The sequence below is a fragment of the Homo sapiens genome, chromosome X (assembly GCF_000001405.40).
Source record: "Homo sapiens chromosome X, GRCh38.p14 Primary Assembly".
NCBI lineage: Eukaryota > Metazoa > Chordata > Mammalia > Primates > Hominidae > Homo > Homo sapiens.
Window position 1 is genome coordinate 136,881,022 of NC_000023.11, and position 20,716 is coordinate 136,901,737.

Sequence of the window (20,716 nt, forward strand, 5' to 3'; positions counted from 1 at the left end):
TATTGAGCGTCCTAGTGGGCCGGGCACGGTGCAAAACTTTACTTTTACTTTTCCATTAACTCTTCTAATTGTCAAAATGTGATGAGGGTAGATACTCCTACTATACCAATTTTGCAGAAACGGAAAACAAAGAAGTTTTGGCAATATAATATATTTTCAAAAATTGTCTTTAACAAGTGTTTTTAGTGAGTGTGGGAATTTCTGATAAATACATGTAAATTTCAGATGAGTAAAAAACGTACAAAACAGCATGCAGATAGTACATTCATATAGAACAATTACTGAGCACCTTGTAAATGGTGGGCTCTGGGCTAGGCCAGGAAAATACAACTCCAGGGAAAAGACAAGAGTCAGGCCTGTGGGTAAGGATGCCGGATTTAATAAATGAAAATACCAGGCCGGGTGCAGTGGCTCACGCCTGTAATCCCAGCACTTTGGGAGGCCAAGGTCGGTGGATCACGAAGTCAGGAGATGGAGACCATCCTGGCTAACACGGTGAAACCCCGTCTCTTTTTAAAAATACAAAAAATTACCCAGGCGTGGTGGCACGCGCCTGTAGTCCCAGCTACTCGGGAGGCTGAGGCAGGAGAATCCGGGAGGCGGAGGTTGCAGTGAGCCAAGACTGCGCCACCGCACTCCAGCCTGGGCAGGCGACAGAGCGAGACTCCGTCTCAAAATAAAAAAGAAAATGCGGGACGCTAATTTATTCTGCGAAGCTGTTAAAAAATTTTAAATAAAAATATGGGACGCGGCCGGGGCGCGGTGGCTCATGCCTGTAATCCTAGCACTTTGGGAGGCCGAGGCGGGCAGATTGCCTGAGCTCAGGGGTTTGAGACCAGCCTGGGCAACATGGTGAAACCCCGTCTCTACTAAAATAAAAATAAAAAATAAAAAAATTAGCCGGGCGTGGCGGCGTGTGCCTGTAGTCCCAGCTACTCGGGAGGCTGAGGCAGGAGAATTGCTTGAACCCAGGAGGCGGCGGTTGCAGTGAGCCAAGATCATACCACTGCACTCCAGCCTGGCAACAGAGCGAGACTTCGTCTAAAAAAAAAAAAAGGGACGCCCAGTTAAGTTTAAATTTCAGATAACGAATACTTTTTTTAGTATAGTATGTCCCAAATCTCATATTTTAAAAATTCGCTGTTTATCGGAAATTCAAATTTAACTGAGCATTCTATATTTCATCTGCCCATCCTACTTGTTGAGGGGGGAAACCAAAAAATTTTTTAATTTTTTTCTTAAAGAAATTGAATACAATTAACAAAAGAATGGCATGTTGTGATTAATGCCAGGGAGGAAATAAACTAGTTGCTTTGATGGACAATATTAGGGAGAACAAATTTGATTAAAACATCAGGGAAGGTCTATGTGAAGAGGTGACTTTGGAGATCAGAGCTGAAGGAAGAAAAGAAACTAGCTATGGGAACAGCTGAGGGAAAAACCTTCAGGAAAAGAAGAGAATAGTAAACACAAAGTAGAGAGGAAGAGCTTGGCATATATCAAGGGACAGAAAGAGGGCCAGGTGACAAGAATATGAGGGGCATGAAATGAGGGAGCCAAGATTGGCAGGACCTTTGAGCCCATTAAATGACTGTAGGGGGTAAGTGTGGGAAAAAGGACACTAATAGGGCTGTGGGAGCAGACCAGAAAGAGAGGATGGTGGCTTGAATCAGGGTGGCGGCAGTGGACACGGGGAGGAAAGAACAATTGTTAGATGAATATGATAGGTATCGTGTTTAATGGTGCTATGGTCTAAATGTTTGTGTCCTCCCCCAAATTCATATGTTGAAATCCTAATACCCAAGGTGATGGCATTAGGAGGCGGGGATTTGGGGAGAAGATTAGGTCACAAAAGGGTAGGGTCCTCATGAATGGGATTAACACTTTTATAAAAGAGGCCCCTGTCCACCATGTGAGAACACAGTGAGGTGCCACTTATATGAACCAGAAAACTGGTGGTGGTGGGCCCTCACCAGACACTGAATATGCTGGCGTCTTTATCTTGGACTTCCCAGCCTACAAAAATGTGAGAAATAAATTTCTGTTGTTTATAAGCCAGCCAGTTTATGGTATTTTGTTATAGTAGCAGGAATGGACTAAGACAGATGGGAAAGGGGTGGGGAAGAATTGCGGAAAAAGAAAATCATTATGGATGACTCCAAGTATCTGGTATTAGTGGGACAGATGGTAACAGTCATTTACCAAAATGGTTTCAGAGGAGCAAGTTTGGGATATAGGGGCAGAAAAATCTGAAGCTCAGAGCATAGATCTGTGCTAAATTATCATCTCAGAGATGTAATAAAAGCCATCAGAATGAATGAAACCACCAAACAAGAGAGTACAGTGGGAAAAGAAGGCCCAAGATCACATAATATGAGCTATTAAAAAAATACATATGGAGACAAAATAACTGGGAGGAAATATGCCAAAATGTTACCAGTTTATCTTGGAGTGGTAGAATTTATGGACAATTTTCACTTTTCTTCTTCTTCTTCTCCTTTTTTTTTTGTTTGTTTTTTTGTTTTTTTGAGAAAGAGGTTCGCTCTCATTGCCCAGGCTAGAGTGCACTGGTGCGATCTTGGGTCACTGCAACCTCTGCCTCCCGGGTTCAAGCGATTCTCCCGTCTCCGCCTCCTGAGTAGCTGGGATTACAGGCATACGCCACCATGCCCGGCTAATTTTGTATTTTTAGTAGAGACAGAGTTTCACCATGTTGGCCAGGCTGGTCTCAAACTCCTGACCTCAGGTGATACGCCCGCCTCGCCCTCCCAAAGTGCTGAGATTACAGGCCTGAGCCACCGTGCCGGGCCTTTTCTTCTTCATAGTTACAATTACCTGCCCATGGTGAATTTTGGTATATGCCAGGCAGGTTGTAGTAAATAATATTCAGGTCACGGGTAAAAGCCCCCAAGGAGCTTCGAAACCAGCTCTGAATTATTAACATTAATAGGGGGAGTAATGCCCAGTAGGACAAGAATATTTGTTCTTGTTTTTTTTCCCCCAGCCAAATAATAAAAAGTAAGGCAAAACTCATGTCCATTTGCCTTTTGAATGAGTTCTGTAAATTATAGACTCTGGAGTCATTTGGGAACTGGCAAAAATGGCTTAAATACCAGGCTCAGCAAGCAGAACTTGTACTCCCAGAGGTAGCCAGGAGAAATCCCTCACCCTGTGGAAGCAGGCACTCTCTTTCTCTGTCTCAAATCCAAAGAGAGACTACAGGACTCTCCTCTAGGCTCTGAGTGTAAATCAGGTCTCCTCTAGTCTAGGGCAAAATGGGGCAGGCTCGACAATAGATAACCCTGTCCTCCTGGGTCTCAAAAAGGAAATGTGCATCCCCGTAGACCAGCTCACTTTGGCCTCTGCAGTTCACACCCAGGAATGTGGGGGAGGAGAAGTAGCATGCTGGCGGTGTTGGATGCAAACACAATTCCCAAGGACCAAAAGCGAGTGGGTGGGGTGGGGATGGCTAAGTTAAAGGAATTGTAGGAGGGGATCAGTTGGCCATATCGTCCAGGACAGAGAGGAAAAAGAAGCAGCTTGTGGGGGAAGCAGAGTGCTACTGACTAGATCTAGAGGGCAATGGAGAGGGGAGCCTTTTTTTTTTTTTTGAGACGGTGTTTCGCTCTTTCGACCAGGCTGGAGTGAAGTGGCGCAATCCCAGCTCACTGCAACCTCCGCCCCCCGGGTTCAAGCGATTCTCCTGTCTCAGCCTCCCAAGTAGCTGGGATTACAGGTGTCCACCACCATGCCAGGCTAATTTTTGTACTTTTAGTAGAGACGGGGTTTCGCCATGTTGGCCAGGCTGGTCTCGAACTCCTGACCTCAGGTGATCCACCCACCTCGGCCTCCCAAAGTGCTGGGATTACAGGCGTGAGCCACTGAGCCTGGCCGAGAGGGGAGCCTTTTTAAGAGGTGGAGTAAGGTAATCAGATTTCATCTTAATGAGATTACTGTGGTTGCAGTCTGGAGACTGTATTGGGGGAGGGAGAGACAGGAAGCAGGGAGACAAATCAGAAGGGTATTGCTGATGTAATGCAGGAGAGGGGGGACGTGGGCGTGCTGAGTGTGAGGGACTCTGGCCAACAGGCAGTTGGATAAGCAGGTCTCACACTGCCCAAAAGTAATTTCCGAATCCCATCCCTCCTCCTCATGGATCTTCTAGATTTTTCTCTTTGCCTCTTTCTATTTACTCTTTTATATTGTCATTAAATGTAGTTGCGTTTTTCTCTTTGCTATAATTTTCCCTTTGCCTTATTATTTTGTCTTCAGATGCCATCTCAGTGATCGACGGATACACTGAGTCAAACGATATTACTTCACTACTAGGTAATCTTGGAATATAATCAGTGCTAAATAAATGGCTGAATTGACTTGCAAGCTCTTCTTATTCTTCATGGCACTTAGCATGAGATGGGTGCATAGGAAGTTTTTATTTTATTTTATTGTATTTTATTTTAATTTAATTTAATTTTATTTTATTTTTGAGATGGAGTCTCACCCTGTCGCCCAGGCTGAAGTGCAGTGGTGCAATCTCAGCTCACTGCAATCCCCACTTCCTGGGTTCAAGCGATTCTCCTGCCTCAGCCTCCTGAGTAGTTGGGATTACAGGTGTGCACCACCACGTCTGGCTAATTTTTTTGTATTTTTAGTAGAGATGGGGTTTCTGGTCTCGAACTCCTGACCTCAGGTGATTCACCTGCCTCGGCCTCCCAAAGTGCTGGGATTACAGCCGTGAGCCACCACACTTGGCTGGAATTATGTAATAAATACTGGTGGCCTTGTCTTAAATCCTGATTTAATTTCAAGGGGCTCATATTTTATATTAAAAAAGGAAAAACAATAAACAAACCCATACTTTTAAAAGTTGCAACCAATTAAATTTAAGAAATAACCTTTCAGGCCGGGCACAGTGGCTCATGCCTGTAATTCCAGCACTTTGGGAGGCTGAGGTGGGCAGATCACGAGGTCAGGAGATCGAGACCATCCTGGCTAACACGGTGAAACCCTGTCTCTACTAAAAATACAAAAAATTAGCTGGGCGTGGTGGCGGGTGCCTGTAGTCCCAGCTACTCAGGAGGCTGAGGCAGGAGAATGGCGTGAACCCAGGAGGTGGAGCTTGCAGTGAGCCGAGATCACACCACTGCACTACAGCCTGGGCCACAGAGCGAGACTATCTCAAAAAAAAAGAAAAGAAAAGAAAAAAAGAAAAAAGAAATAACCTTTCAGTCATCAAACATCAAACTAGGAATCACTCTGGGATGAGTAAACTGAAGTTCTCCTGTCAGGCTTGCATTTTTACAGGAAGGGCATTCGTAATGTCACTCTGTTTCCAGTTATGCTTGTTCTCCAAACTACAGAAAGATAACCCTGCCACATGTTAAAAAAAAAAAAAGTCTGTAATCTTGTGCAAAGCAGGAAGGAAGAAGGGAAGGAAGAAGTAGATGTGATTAAAAATTGGGAAACTTTCCAAACCACTTTAAGTAGCCACCATCCAGAAGATAGCCTACTTAGCTTAGCTACAAAGAGCAAGAAATAAAAACTTTTTAACCAACATATGGCTCTGGTATCTATCTTGGAACTGACTAAATAAAGATAAAATTCTACTGTATCTTTCTCCACAATGAAGGAGATGATGCATTTTAACCAAACTTCATATCCAATTAAAAGGAACCAAAGTATGCCTTAAGAAACATTTGGGCCAGGCATGGTGGCTCATGCCCGTAATCCCAGCACTTTGGGAGGGCAAGGCAGGTGGATTGCTTGAGGTCAGTAGTTTGAGACCAGCCTGGCCAATATGGTGAAATCCCCTCTCTACTAAAAATACAAAAATTAGTGGGGGGTGGTGGCACGCGCCTGTAGTCTCAGCTACTTGGGAGGCTGAGGCATGAGAATCGCTTGAACCTAGGAGGCAGAGGTTGCAGTCAGCCGAGATCGTGCCACTGCACTCCAGCCTGGGTGACAGGGCAAGACTCTGTCTGAAAAAAAGACCAGGTGTGGTGGCTCACGCCTGTAATCCCAGCACTTTGGGAGGCCGAGGCGGGCAGATCACCTGAGGTCGGGAGTTCAAGACCAGCCTGACCAACATGGAGAAACCCCATCTCTACTAAAAATACAAAATTAGCCGGGCATGGCGGCGCATGCCTGAAATCCCAGCTACTCAGGAGGCTGAGGCAGGAGAATCGCTTGAACCCGGGAGGCAGAGGTTGTGGTGAGCCAAGATCGCGCCACTGCACTCCAGCCTGGGCAACAAGAGCAAAACACCATCTCAAAAATAAAAAATAAAAATAAAAATAAAAAAAAAAGAAGAAACATTTGATGGGGAGGGGGTGCGATGAATTGTTTAATAAATTGTGTCAAGACAATTAGAGAGCCATTTGAAGGGAAAATATCTGGATCCATGCCACACTTTTTACTCCAAAATAAATTTCAGCTCAAAGATTTAAATGTAAACAATAAAACCATTGAAGACTAGAAAAAAATGGGTAGATGCTTTTATAATCTTGTCATGAAGACGATTTATACATTTATTCATTCTTTTAGCACATATTTTTTCAATGCCTACTATGTGCCAGCACTGTTTTAGGTGCTGGGAATACATCAGTGAACAAAAAGACAACAATCCCTGCTCGCCTGGTGCAAACATTTTATTGAAGGGGTGCTATGGTTTAAATGTTTGTATGCTCCCCAAATTAATATATTGTTTTTGTTTTTTGTTTTTTTGAGACGGAGTCTCGGTCTGTCATTCAGGCTGAAGTGCAATGGTGTGATCTTGGCTCACTGCAACCTCTGCCTCCCGGCTTTAAGCGAATCTCCTGCCTCAGCCTCCCGAGTAGCTGGGATTGAACCACCACACCCAGTGATTTTTTGTATTTTTAGTAGAGATGGGGTTTCACCATACTGGCCAGGCTGGTCTCTCGAACTCCTGTCCTCAGGTGATCCGCCCACCTCAGCCTCCCAAAGTGCTGGGATTACAGGCATGAGCTACCGCGCCCAGCCTCTTCTTCCTTTTTTTTTTTTTTTCTTCTAAGAGACTGGGTCTCACTCTGTCACCCAGGCTGGAGTGCGGTGGTGTGATCCTAGCTCACTGCGGCCTCCAACTTCTGGGCTCAAGAGATCTTCCTGCCTCAGCCTCTGGAATAGCTGGGACTACAGGCACTGATCACTATACACAGCTAAAATTCATATATTGAACTCCTAACCTCCAAGGTGATGGTATTAGGAGGTGGGGCCTTTGGGAAGTGATTAGGTCAGGAAGGCAGGTGGAGCCATCATGAATGGGATTAGTGCCTTTATGTAAAAGACCACAGAGTGACCCTCACCTCTTTCTCCTAGTAAGTACACACGGAGAAGTCAGCAGTCAGCAACTGTTCCTTGGCGAACAGGTATATACAAACCTACCCCCAAAACCTGAGCGAAGCGAGAGGCCAAAGAAATGGCAAATCCAGGCCAGGCGCGGTGACTCACGCCTGTAATCCCAGCACTTTGGGAGGCCAAGGCAGGCGGATCATGAGGTCAGGAGTTCGAGACCATCCTGGCTAACACGGTGAAACCCTGTCTCTACTAAAAATACAAAAAAGCTAGCCAGGTGTGGTGGCGGGCGCCAGTAGTCCCAGCTACTCAGGAGGCTGAGGCAGGAGAATGGCGTGAACCCAGGAGGCAGAGCTTGCAGTGAGCTGAGATCGCGCCACTGCACTCCAGCTTGGGCGACAGAGTGAAACTCCATCTCAAAAAAAAAAAAAAAAAAGAAAGAAAGAAATGGCAAATCCAGTTTCTCAGAAAGAAAATATTTAGGACGGGTGTGGTGGCTCACACCTGTAATCCTAGCACTTTGGGAAGCCGAGGCAGGCAGATTATCTCACGTTGGGAGTTCGAGACCAGCCTGGCTAACATGATGAAACCCTGTCTCTACTAAAAATACAAAATTAGCTGGGCATGGTGGTGTGTGCCTGTAATCCCAGTTACTCAGGAGGCTGAGGTGGGAGAATCGCTTGAACCTGGGAGGTGGAGGTTGCAGTGAGCCAGGATCATGCCACTGCACTCCAGCCTGGGCGACAAAGTGAGAATCCGTCTCCAAAAAAAAGAAACAAAGAAAGAAAATATTTAATAGGGACTTACAAAGAAAAGCAATGCTTATGGCAGCCACGAGATGGTGGATCGGTGCACCCGCCCTCCAGAAAATATTCTTATTAAGCAAGCTTTTAGGGTAAAGCAGGTGCAACTGGTTACATCTCAGACTGTCTTGCCAAAACTCATCACCGCTGGGGAAATTAGATAAGTGTCTTTATGAGGAGTTATTTATGCTTCAGGCATTGTTCTAAGACCTTGCTGCAGAACAACACTTTGGTATGCAGGAGTCAAACATCAAGTCATTAAAAAAACAACAACAACATATCAGTCACATGGCGGTTTCACTTCCAAGATGGCATCACTCTTGCCATGCAACAGGCTCTTTTCCTAAAGCAACCCAGAAGAGGGTCCTCACCAGAACCCAGCCATGCTGGCATTCCGATCTTGGGCTTCTAGCCTCCAGAAATGTGAGAAGTAATTTTTTTTTTTTTTTGAGATGGAGTTTCGCTCTTGTTGCCCAGGCTGGAGTGCAGTGGTGCCATCTCGGCTCACTGCAACCTCCGCCTCCCGGGTTCAAGCGATTCTCCTGCCTCAGCCTCCCGAGTAGCTGGGATTACAAACATGTGCCAGCATGCCCAGCTGATTTTGTATTTTTAGTAGAGACGGAGGTTTCTCCATGTTGGTCAGGCTGGTCTCGAACTCCAGACCTCAGCTGATCCGCCTGCCTTGGCCTCCCAAAGTGCTGGGATTACAGGCGTGAGCCACCGTGCCCAGCCAAGAAGTAACTTTTTATTGACCCAGTCTATGGTAATTCGTTATAGCAGCCTGAACGGACTGAGAGAGGATATAGAATATAAACAGCAAGCCAAATAAATAAGTAAATTAGAAGTATGTTTGAATGTGGAAAGTGCTATGAAAGAAATAGAGCATAGCGGTGTCGGGGGGCGGGGTGGGGTGCAGGGCAGTAAGAAGTACAAGTGGAAGAGTACAAATCTGAAACAGTTGGCCTCACTAAGAAGGTGACATTGGGCTGGATGCAGTGGCTCACGCTTATAATCCCAGCACTTTGGGAGGCTGAGGTGGGCGGATCACTTGAGGCCAGGAGTTTGAGACCAGCCTGGCTAACATGGCAAAACCCCGTCTCTACTAAAAATACAAAAATTAGCCGGGCGTGGTGGTGACCGCCTGTAATCCCAGCTACTTGGGAGACTGAGGTAGGAGAATCGCTTGAACCTGGGAGGCAGAGGCTCCAGTGAGCTGAGATCGCACCACTGCACTCCAGTCTGGGCGACAGAGAGAGACTCTGTCTCAAAAAACCCACACACAAGGCCGGGCGCGGTGGCTCACACCTCTGATCCCAGCACTTTGGGAGGCCAAGGTGGGCTGATCATGAGGTCAGGAGATCAGGACCATCCTGGCTAACACGGTGAAAACCCCGTCTCTACTAAAATACAAAAAAAAAAAAAAAAAAAAATTGCCAGGTGTGGTGGCACGTGCCTGTAGTCCCAGCTACTCAGGAGGCTGAGGCAGGAGAATTTCTTGAACCCAGGAGGCAGAGGTTGCAGTGAGCTGAGATCGCGCCACTGCACCCCAGCCTGGGCGACAGAGCGAGACTTCATCTCAAAAAAAAACCAAAAAAGTCACACATGCTTAAGAGAGGTGACGTTGAAGCAAACACAAAGGAGGAAGTAAACACGTAGATATCCAGGAGAAGAGCATGCTGGGAAGACTGAAATATACCTACCATGTTCTAAGAACAGTAAGGAGGTCAGTATGGCTAAAACTGAGTGGGAGAATACAAGAGTAGTAGTAGGAGATGAGGTTGATAAGTAGCAGAGGAGTCAAATCATGTAGGTTCATGTAGGCCATGGTAGACTTTGGCTTTTACTGTGTGTGAAATGGGAAGTCACTGGAGGGCTTAGAGCACAGGAGTGATGTATCTTACTTACATTGCAACAGGATCACGTTGGCTGCTGTGTTGAGAATACACTGTAGGGAGCAAGGGTGAAAGCAGGGAGACCAGTTAGGAGACTTTTATAAATAGTGCCTTGGATCAAAGTGGTAGCAGTGGAGGTGGTAAGAAGTAATTGGCTTCTGAATATATTTTGAAGGTAGAACCAAAAGGATTTCCTTACATAAAATCCAGATGGCATGAAAGAAAAGACTGACTCATTTGACAATAAAAGCATTCATTCATTCTCAAACTACTTTGATGGTTCATTCTTCTGTAGTGGATCTTTAAATGTTAAAGTTTCTCCAGCTTTGTCGCTAGACCCTCTTGTCTTTTCATTCTGTCCTTACTCCTTAGGCAATTTCATCCATTCCCAGGGTGTTAATTACAATAAATATTCCTAAGACTCTCAGATTTATATTTCTATGCCAAATCTTAGTCTTGAGCTCCCCAACTTGCATATCCAACTTCCCACTTGACATTATCACTTGGCTGCCTTAAATTCATTCACTAATTCCCTTGATGAATATTTATTGCGTACCAAATATGCGTTAGACACTATCGTATAGGGCTGGTATACAATGGTGAATGAATACAACAGATTTGGCCCCCTGCTCTCATGAAGCTTCCAGTCTAGTGAGGATGGGGGTGGGGGGCAGTGAGAAAATAAACAAAAAAACAAACAAAAAGTGAAAGCTGCTATAAAAAAACAAGTTGCAGTAATACAGAATAAAAAGTATGTATGTGCAAGGGGAGGAAATCTACTTCGAATAGTCAGAGAAAAGCTCTCTAAAGAAGTTTCATGGAAGCTGAGAGTTCAAGGATGAGAAACAACCACCCATGAGAAGAACTGTAGAAAGAACAGTGTAGACAATAACAACAGCATATGCAAAGGCTCTGTTGAGGAAAATAATTTCATGTATTTGAAGAACTGAAATGAAGCCACTATGGCTGGAAAACAGTAATCAAGGAATAACAGTGATAAATGATTAAGCTGGAGGGTTAGGAAAGTGTCAGATCATCCAGAACCTTGTAAATCATGGCTGGGAGTTTGGGCTAAGAATGAGAAGCCGTTGAAGGACTTTAATCCAGGAAAATAATTTGAGCTGATTTGTAGGTTTTTTGTTTTTGTTTTGAGACGAAGTCTCGCTCTGTCGCCCAGGCTGGAGTGCAATGGCGCTATCTCAGTTCACTGCAACCTCCGCCCCCTGGGCTCAAGTGATTCTCCTGCCTCAGCCTCCCCAGTAGATGAGATTACAGGCGCATGCCACCATGCCCAGCTAATTTTTGTATTTTTAGTAGAGACGGGGTTTCACCATGTTGGCCAGGCTGGTCTAGAACTACTGACCTCAGGTGATCCGTCCACTTCGACCTCCCAAAGTGCTGGGATTACAGGCGCCAGCCACCGCACCCAGCCTGATTTATGTTTTTGAAAGACCACTCTGGCAGCTGTGTGGAGAATGAGTTACAAGGGGCCAAGTGTGGAAGCTGGAAAACCACTTAGGAGTTAAAGGCAGTAGTTTGAGTGAGAGATGATGTGACTCAGACTAGGTTAGTGGTCATGGAGATGGAGAGAAGTAGATAGATCAGAAATATATTTAGGAAGTTGAAACAATGCACACTAGCCTAGCTAAGAACATGGACTCTGGTGATAACTGCCTGGCTTGAAGCGCAGCTCTGCCACTTCCTAGCTGTGTGAATTTGGGCAAATCCATAATCTCTCTCTGCCTCAGTCTCCTCATTTACAAAATGGGGATAGTCATATTTATAGGAAGTGTGAGGAGTAATATTCACAAAGCATTTAGAACCATTCCTAGAGCACAGAAGCACTATATTAATTGTTAGCTATCAATAATGATAGTGGATGGCTGGGTGTGGTGGCTCATGCCTGTACCCATCACTTTGGGAGGCCAAGGCGGGAGGATTGTTTGAGCCCAGGAGTTCAACACTAGCCTGGGCAACATAGCAAGACCCCATCTTATTTAAATATTAATAAAAAATGATAGTGGATTGACTGTGGGGAATGGGGGCAGAACCAAAGGTGATTCCAGGTTTTGGCATGAGCTATTGGATGTTTTTTTGAGATACTAGGGTGACAAAACCTCAGTCTTGGTGGAAGCCACTAATTCATTGTCTACATCAACTGGAAAAAGTCACAGATTTTCAATGGAGTAGATTGAGTCTATTATAAAATTCATGATCACAGATGTCAAATGACAGATCCATATATCACCTAACAATTCTACTTTACATCTTTGGTCAATTCACTCTCCTACCTTCTGCAATCATTTTTGTTAAACCTATTCCATTCTTCTGTAACCTTCTACTCCAGCACCAAGTCCCCCCTGCACTCACACTTTTAATATTTGACCCAAACTCCTATTTTACAGAGAAAAAAGAAGCCATCTGATAGGAACTCCCTTATCTTCTGGTTACCAAACATATATATCTACCCAGTTCTGTACCCATCCTATCTTCTTTTTCTCCTGCTACACAGAATAGTGATTCCCAAAGTGTTGTTAGTTCCCCCAGAATAGCAGCATCAACACCGCCTGGGAAGTAGTTAGAAATGCAGATTTGCAGCCTCATCCCCAACCTACAGAATCACAAATTATGGGGTAGGGTGAAGGAAGGGGCAGCATTCTATGCTTTAACAATCCCTCCAGGAAAATTCTGGTGCACTCAGGTTAGAGAACCACTGCAACAGAAAAAAATAATACCTCCTTTCATCTAAGGCCTACCCTTCTACTTGTGCTTCAGATAATGTTCTCTCTGCCTTTTTTTTTTTTTTTTTAAGAGGGAGTCTCACTCTGTCGCCCTGACTGGAGTGCAATGGTTTGATCTCGGCTCACTGCAACCTCTGCCTCCTGGGTTCAAGCAATTCTCTCGCCTCAGTCTCCTGAGTAGCTGTGATTACAACCACCCACCATCATGCCCGGCTAATTTTTGTATTTTTGTAAAGATGAGATTTCACCATGTTGGCCAGGCTGGTCTTGAACTCCACCCACCTCGGCCTCCCAAAGTGCTGGGATTACAGGCGTGAGCCACCACGCCTGGCCGTGTCTTCTTAAGAATTTTATATCATTAATTGTTCTTTTTTTCCCTCCTGTGTATTCAACCACTCCTTCTCAACTGGAACTTTCTTGTATACATAAACATGCTCAAACCTTTCTCATATACAAAAACTCCTCTCTTAATGGTTCATGTCCTTCTAGTTACCTCATGATAGTTTTCCTCTCCTCCACAGCCAAACATCTTAAAAGAGTCGTCAGCATAAAAAATAAAGGAAATCCTGCAGTATATGACAGCATGGGTGAATTGACATTATGCTAAGTGACATAAGCCAGTCACAGAAGGACAAATACTACATGATTCCACTTGTATGAAGTAGCTAAAATAGTCAAACTCATAAAAGCAAAGAATAGAATGCTGGTTGCCAGGGACTAGGGAGGGGAGGAAATGTGTAGTTGCTAATCAATGTGCATTAAATTTCAATTATGCAAGATGAGTAAGTTCTAGAGATCTGCTATAAAACATTTTGCTTATAAATAACAATACTAGGACGGGCATGGTGGTTCACGCCTGTGATCCCAGCACTTTGGGAGGCTGAGGTGGGCGGATCACTTGAGGTCACAAGTTCAAGACCAGCCTGGTCAACATGGTGAAACCCCATCTCTACTAAAAAAAATACAAAAATTGGCCAGGTGTGGTGGCGTGCACCTGTAGTCCCAGCTACTCGGGAGGCTGACCCACAAGAATGGCTTGAACCCGGGAGGCAGAGGTAGAGGTTGCAGTGAGCTGAGATCGCACCACTGCACTCCAGCCTGGGTGACAGAGTGAAACTCCATTTCAATCAACAATCAATCAATCAATCAATCAATAAAACATAAAAAGTGCAAATAGTGTCTATTAAATTTTTATTTTATTTTATTTATTTTTTAGATACAGGGTCCCACTAAGTTGCCCAGGCTGCTTGAAACTCCTGGGCTCAAGCAATCCATCTGCCTCAACCTCCTGAGTAGCTGGGACTAAAGATGTGCTCCACTGCACCTAGCTGTCTATTAGAAATTTTTTTTTTTTTTTTTTTGAGATGGAGTTTCCCTCTTGTTGCCCAGGCTGGAGTGCAATGGCGCGATCTTGGCTCACTGCAGCCTCCATCTCCCGGGTTCAAATGATTCTCCTGCCTCAGCCTTCGGAGTAACTGGGATTACAGGCATGTGCCACCACGCCCGGCTAATTTTTCATTTTTAGTAGAGACAGGGTTTCACCATGTTGGTCAGGCTGGTCTTGAACTTGTGACCTCAAGTGATCCGCCCACCTCCCAAAGTGCTAGGATTACAGGCATGAACCACCATGCCCGGTCTGTCCATTAGAGTTTTAAATAAGCATACCCTTTTTGTTGTCTACCCTAGAGAAGAACCATCATACAGGCCCAGGGGAGCATGTATGAGGCTTTTTTTTTTTTTTTTGCAGAATTGTTAGTGACTGGGGAAAAAATGAAAACAACTGAAATGACCATCAGTAGAGGAATGGCCAAATAAATTATGATATACTCATAATATATAATATCAAGTATCTGTTAAAATAATGCAGTAGTTTATTCTATACATCATGTTATACTATACATAATATGTATATGTAAAACATATATATAAGTATATGTAAAATTATATTATATATGATGATAATATATTACTACTTAGAAAAAAACAGGAAGGACACACACCAAACAAATAACAAGGATTACCTCTGAAAGGTGGGGGAGAAGACTAGATTGGTGGCAGTGGTTAAAGGGGATTTTAGTCTTCTCTGTAATATATCAATTTTTAATTTTATTTTATTAATTAATTTATTTTTGAGGCAGGGTCTTGCTCTGTCATGCCACCATGCCCAGCTATTTGTTTTTGTTTTTGTTTGTAGAGACAGGGTCTCGCTATGGTGCTCAGGTTGATCTCGAACTCCTGTCCTCAAGTGATCTTCCCATCTTAGCCTCCTCAAATGTTGGGATTACAGGCATGAGCCATCGCACCCCCTCGCCTGTTTCAATTTTTAAAAAGAAGAATATATATACATATATATAGTATATGTAGTACTTATGTTATTAAAAACAAAGCTAATGAAAGAAAGGGTTGTCTATACCAACTAACTCCATTTTATCACCTCTCACTCAATTCTCAACCTGCTCCAATTTGGCTTTTATTCTGATCACTTCTCGCAAATAGCTCTCTTTCATGTCACCAATGACGTTCACATCACCAAATTAAAAAACAATTTATCATAAGAAAATTAGCCAGGCGTGGTGGCACGTGCCTGTGGTCCCAGTTACTTGAGAGGCTGAGGTGGGAGGATTGCTTGAGCCAAGGAGGTTGAGGCTGCAGAGAGCCCTGATCCTGCCACTGCACTCCAGCCTGGGTAACAGAGACCCTGTCTCAAAAAAAAAAAAAGAAAAAAGAAAGGAAAAAGGACTGGTCCTACCGGATTACGGCCACCCACTCTCATGACCTCATTTTAACCTAATTACCTCTTCAAAGACTGTCTCCAAATAGAGTCACATTCTGAGGTTCTGGGGGTTTGGACTTCAATATATAAATTTTGGGGCAGAGTGACACATTTGAGTGCATACCATGAAGTAACTACAAATAGCCTTTCTGCTGGTTCTTCCACATCTGGTTTGGCCCCTCTGTTATCACATCTTCATGAAGTAGTCAGAGGAGCTGATAATGTTACTGGCCCTCCTCCACAACATGCACGTACACTCACATAGTTATAATTCTCCAGTGACTTTCCAATGTGTTTAGGAAAAAGCCTTTCTTTTTTTTTTTTTTTTTTTTTTATAGGGCCAACAAGACAATAGTAGTCTGACTTCTGCTGATGCACTTGTTTCCTTGCCTAAAACACTTCCCCCCTAACCCAACTGGTCCCCTAACCTAATAATTTCACTTATTCTTTGAAATCTGGATTACTGCCCCTACCATTGAGTCAATTCTTTGTTTTTAAAATTGCCTTTATTAAAGTATATTTTACATATAAAACTCACCCATCTTAGGTGTACAATTCAATGATCTTCAGCAACTTTACTAAGTGGCACAGTCATCATGAAAAATCAGTTCTAAGACATTTGTAGCCCCCAGTTATTAGGGGTGCAAAAGTAACTGCGGGCCAGGCACGGTGCCTCATGTCTGTAATCCCAGCACTTTAGAAGGCCAGGGTGGGTGGATCACCTGAGGTCAGGAATTTGAGACCAGCCCGGCCAACATGGTGAAACCTCATCTCTACTAAAAATACAAAAATCAGCCGGGCATGGTGGCACATGCCCGTGATCCCAGCTACTCTGGAGGCTGAGGTGGGAGAATTGCTTAAACCTTGGAGGCAGAGGTTGGTGGCTCATGCCTCTAATCCTGGTACTTCGAGAGGCCAAGGTGGGTGGATGACTTCAGGTCAGGAGTTTGAGACCAGCCTGACCAACATGGTAAAACCCCGTCTCTACTAAAAATACAAAAATTAGCTGGCTGTGGTGACACATGCCTATAATACCAGCTACTTGGGAGGCTGAGGCATGAGAATTGCTTCAACCCTGGAGGGAGAGGTTGCAGTGAGCTGAGATGGTGCCACTGCACTCCAGCCTCTGCAACAGAGCAAGTCTCCATCTCAAAAAAGAAAGTAATGGCAACAACTGCAATTATTTTTGCACTAACCTAATAAGTGATCCCTCATGCCCATTTTCAGTTAACCCTGTCCCCAACTCCAGTGCCAGGCAACTGCCAATCTACTTTCTGTCTATAAATTTACCTTTACTGGACATTTTATTTTATTTTATTGAGACAGGGTCTTGCAATTTTGCCCAGGCTGGCCTCTAACTCCTGGGCTCAAGGGATCTTCCTACCTCAGCCTGCTGAGTAGCTGGAACTATAGGTATGCACCACCACACATGCTTTTGCACATTTTTATTTTTATTTTTATTATTTTTTTTTGAGGCAGAGTTTCCCTCTTGTTGCCCAGGCTGGAGTGCGACGGCACGATCTCAGCTCACTGCAACCTCTGCCTCCCAGGTTCAAGCAATTCTCCTGCCTCATCCTCCCAAGTAGCTGGGATTACAGGAGCCTACCACCATGCCCAGCTAATTTTGTTGTATTTTTAGTAGACACGGGGTTTCACCAGGTTGGCCAGGCTGGTCTAGAACTCCTGACCTCAGGTGATCCACCCTCCTTGGCCTCCCAAATTGCTGGGATTACAGGCATGAGCCACCACACCCGGCTGGACATTTTTTATTTTAAATTATACAATATGTGGTCTCTTGTGTATCTGGCTTTTTAAAATTTTTTTTTTAATTTTTTTTTTTTAATTTTTGAGAATCTTGCTCTGTCTCCCAGGCTGGAGTGCAGTGCTGCGATCAAGGCTCACTACAACCTTCGCCTCTCGGGTTCAAGTGATTCTTCTGCCTCAGCCTCCCAAGTAGCTGGGATTGCAGGCACATGCCAGCATGCCCGTCTAATTTTTGTATTTTTGGTAGAGACAGGGCTTTGCCATGTTTGCCAGGCTGGTTTCGAACTCCTGATCTCAGGTGATCCACCTGCCTTGGCCTCCCAAAATGCTGGGATTACAGGTGTGAGCCATCGCGCCCAGCTGTGTGTCTGGCTTTTTGCGCTTAGTGTGTTGTTGAGAATTCTCCATACTGTAGCATGTGTCAGTAGCTCATTCCTTTTTACTGCCAAATAGTATTCCATTTTATGGATACGCTATTGGGAGAAAAGCTGAGTGTTGGGAGAGAAACTGAGGCAGGGCTTGCATGTCTGCTAGACTTGCTGGCTCCTTGCTTCTAGTACTCCCATTATCTCAAGCAGCCATATGTTTCTCATTCACTTGATACACTGTTTCCTTTCAACCCCCACATCCTCACCACCTGTTCCTTTGTTTGAGCAACAATAAATAGCGTGGGCTCCCAGAGCTCAGGGCCTTCGCAGCCTCCACGCTTGCAATGGCCCCACAGTCCCACTTTATCTCTCAAACTGTCTTTTTCTCATTCCTTTGACTCCGCCAGACTTCGTCACCCCCACAACCTGGTGTTGGGTCTGATCACTCCAACAATACGCTATATATTGACTATCCATTCATCAATCAATTGACATTTAAGTTTTTGTTTTACAGCTTTTGGCTATTATGAATAATGCTTTATTATAAATAATGCAAATGCTATGAATATTTGCATAAAAATATTGTTGTGGACACCTGTCATTATTTCTCTTAGGTTTGTACCCAGAAGTGAAATTGCTTGCTTGTATGGAAGGTTTATGTTTGTCATTTTGAGGAGCTGCCAAAATGTTTTACAAAGCAGCTGCACCATTATACAAGCCCACAAGCAATGTAAGAATGTTGCAATTTCTCTACATCCTAGCCAACATTTATTATTGCTTGTCTTAATTTTTATAGCAATTCTTGTGGTTATGGAATAGTATCTCAATGTGCTTTCAATTTGCATTTCTGTACTGATAAATGATGTCGACCACCTGTTCATGTGCTTTTCATTTATATGTCCTCTTTGATGAAATGTCTGTTCATATATTTTGGCCAGTTTTCATTGAATTGTTTTATTATTGAGTTGTAAGAGTTCTTCATACATTCAGGTTACAAGTCCTTTATCTGATATGTCTTTTGCAAATATTTCCTCCAAGTCTGTGAGGTTTTTTTTTTCTTATTTTCCTTATTATTATTATTATTTTTTGAAATGGAGTCTCGCTGTGTTACCCAGGCTGGAGTGCAGTGGCGCGATCTCGACTCACTGCACGCTCTGCCTCCTGGGTTCACGGTATTCTCCTGCCTCAGCCTCCCGAGTAGCTGGGACTACAGGCGCCCACCCCCACGCCTGGCTAATTTTTTGTATTTTCAGTAGAGACGGGGGTTTCACCGTGTTAGCCAGGATGGTCTCGATCTCCTGACCTCGTGATCCGCCCGCCTTGGCCTCCCAAAGTGCTAGGATTACAGGCGTGAGCCACCGCGCCTGGCCTAGATTTCCTTTCTTTTTTTTTTTTTGAGACAGAGTTTCGCTCTTGTCACCCAGGCTGGAGTGCAGTGGCTCGATCTTGGCTCACTGCAACCTCCGCCTCCTGGGTTAAAGCGATTCTCCTGCTTCAGCCTCCCGAGTGGCTGGGATTACAAACGCCTGCCACCATGCCTGGTTAATTTTTTGTATTTTTAGTAGACACTGAGTTTCATCATGTTGGCCAGGCTGGTCTCAAACTCCTGACCTCAGGTGATCCACCCGCCTCGGCCTGCCAAAGTGTAGGGATTACAGGCCTGAGCCACCGTGCCCGGACCTAATTTTCTTAATGATGTCTTTTGGAGTGCAAACATTTTGAATTTTTGTAAGGTCAAATTTACCATATTTTTTCTTTTATGGAACATGCCTATAGAGTTGTATCCATGAGATGTTTGCCTAAGCCAAGGTCTCAAAGATTTTCCCCTATGTTTTCTTTTAAAAGTTTCATTGTTTTAACTCTAAAAATTAAGTCTAGTTTTTTGTTAGTTTGTTTTGTTTTTTGAGACAGAGTCTCACTCTGTCGCCCAGGCTGTAGTGCAGTGGCATGATCTCGGCTCACTGCAACCCCCGCCTCCTGGGTTCAAGCTATTCTCCTGCCTCAGCCTCCAGCGTAGCTGGGATTACAGGCGCCTACCACCACACTTGGCTAATTGTGGTATTTTTAGTAGAGACAGGGTTTCACCATTTTCACCAGGCTGGTCTCAAACTCCTGACCTCACGCGATCTGCCTGTCTTGGCCTCCCAAAGTGCTGGGATTACAGGCATGAGCCACTGTGCCTGGCCAAGTCCATGATATATTTTGAGTAAACTTCTTCATAATGTGAAGAGGGTCCAGCTCATCTTTTTGCATGTTGCATCTTTCTGCAGCACCATTTGTAAACTATCCTTTTCCCAGTGAATTGCCTTAGCACTCTTGTCAAAAAACAACTGACTTTAAATACAAGGATTTATTTCTGGACTCTTAATTCTGATCTATATGTCTATTCTTATGCCAGTACCGCATTGTCTTTTTTTTTTGATATGAGGTCTTACTGTGTCGCCCAGGCTGGAGTGCAGTGGTGTGATCTTGGCTCACTGCAACCTCTACCTCCCAGGTTCAAGCAATTCTCCTGCCTCCGCCTCCTGAGTAGCTGGGATTACAGTTGCCCGCCACCACGCCTGGCTAATATTTGTATTTTTAGTAGAGATGGGGTTTCACCACGTTGGCCAGGCTGGTCTCGAACTCCTTACCTCAAGTGATCCACCTGCCTCGGCTTCCCAAAGTGCTGGGATTACAGGCATGAGCCACCGCACCCAGCCTTTTTTTTTTTTGCATTTTTGAGATGTAGTCTTGCTCTGTCACCCAGGCTGGAGTGCAGTGGCAAAATCTTGGCTCACTGCAACCTCTGCCTCCCGGGTTCAAGTGATTCTCCTGCCTCAGCCTCCTGAGTAGCTGGGATTACAAAAGCACGCCACCATGCCTGGCTAATGTTTGTATTTTTAGTAGAGGTAGGGTTTTGCCATGTTGGCCAGGCTGGTCCTGAACTCCTGGCCTTAAGCGATTCGCCTGCCTCGGCCTCCCAAAGTGCTGGGATTATAGACATGAGCCACCTTGCCTGGCCTGATTAACTTATATTTTATTAAGGATTTTTGTGTCTACATGTATGAGAGACATTAGTTTA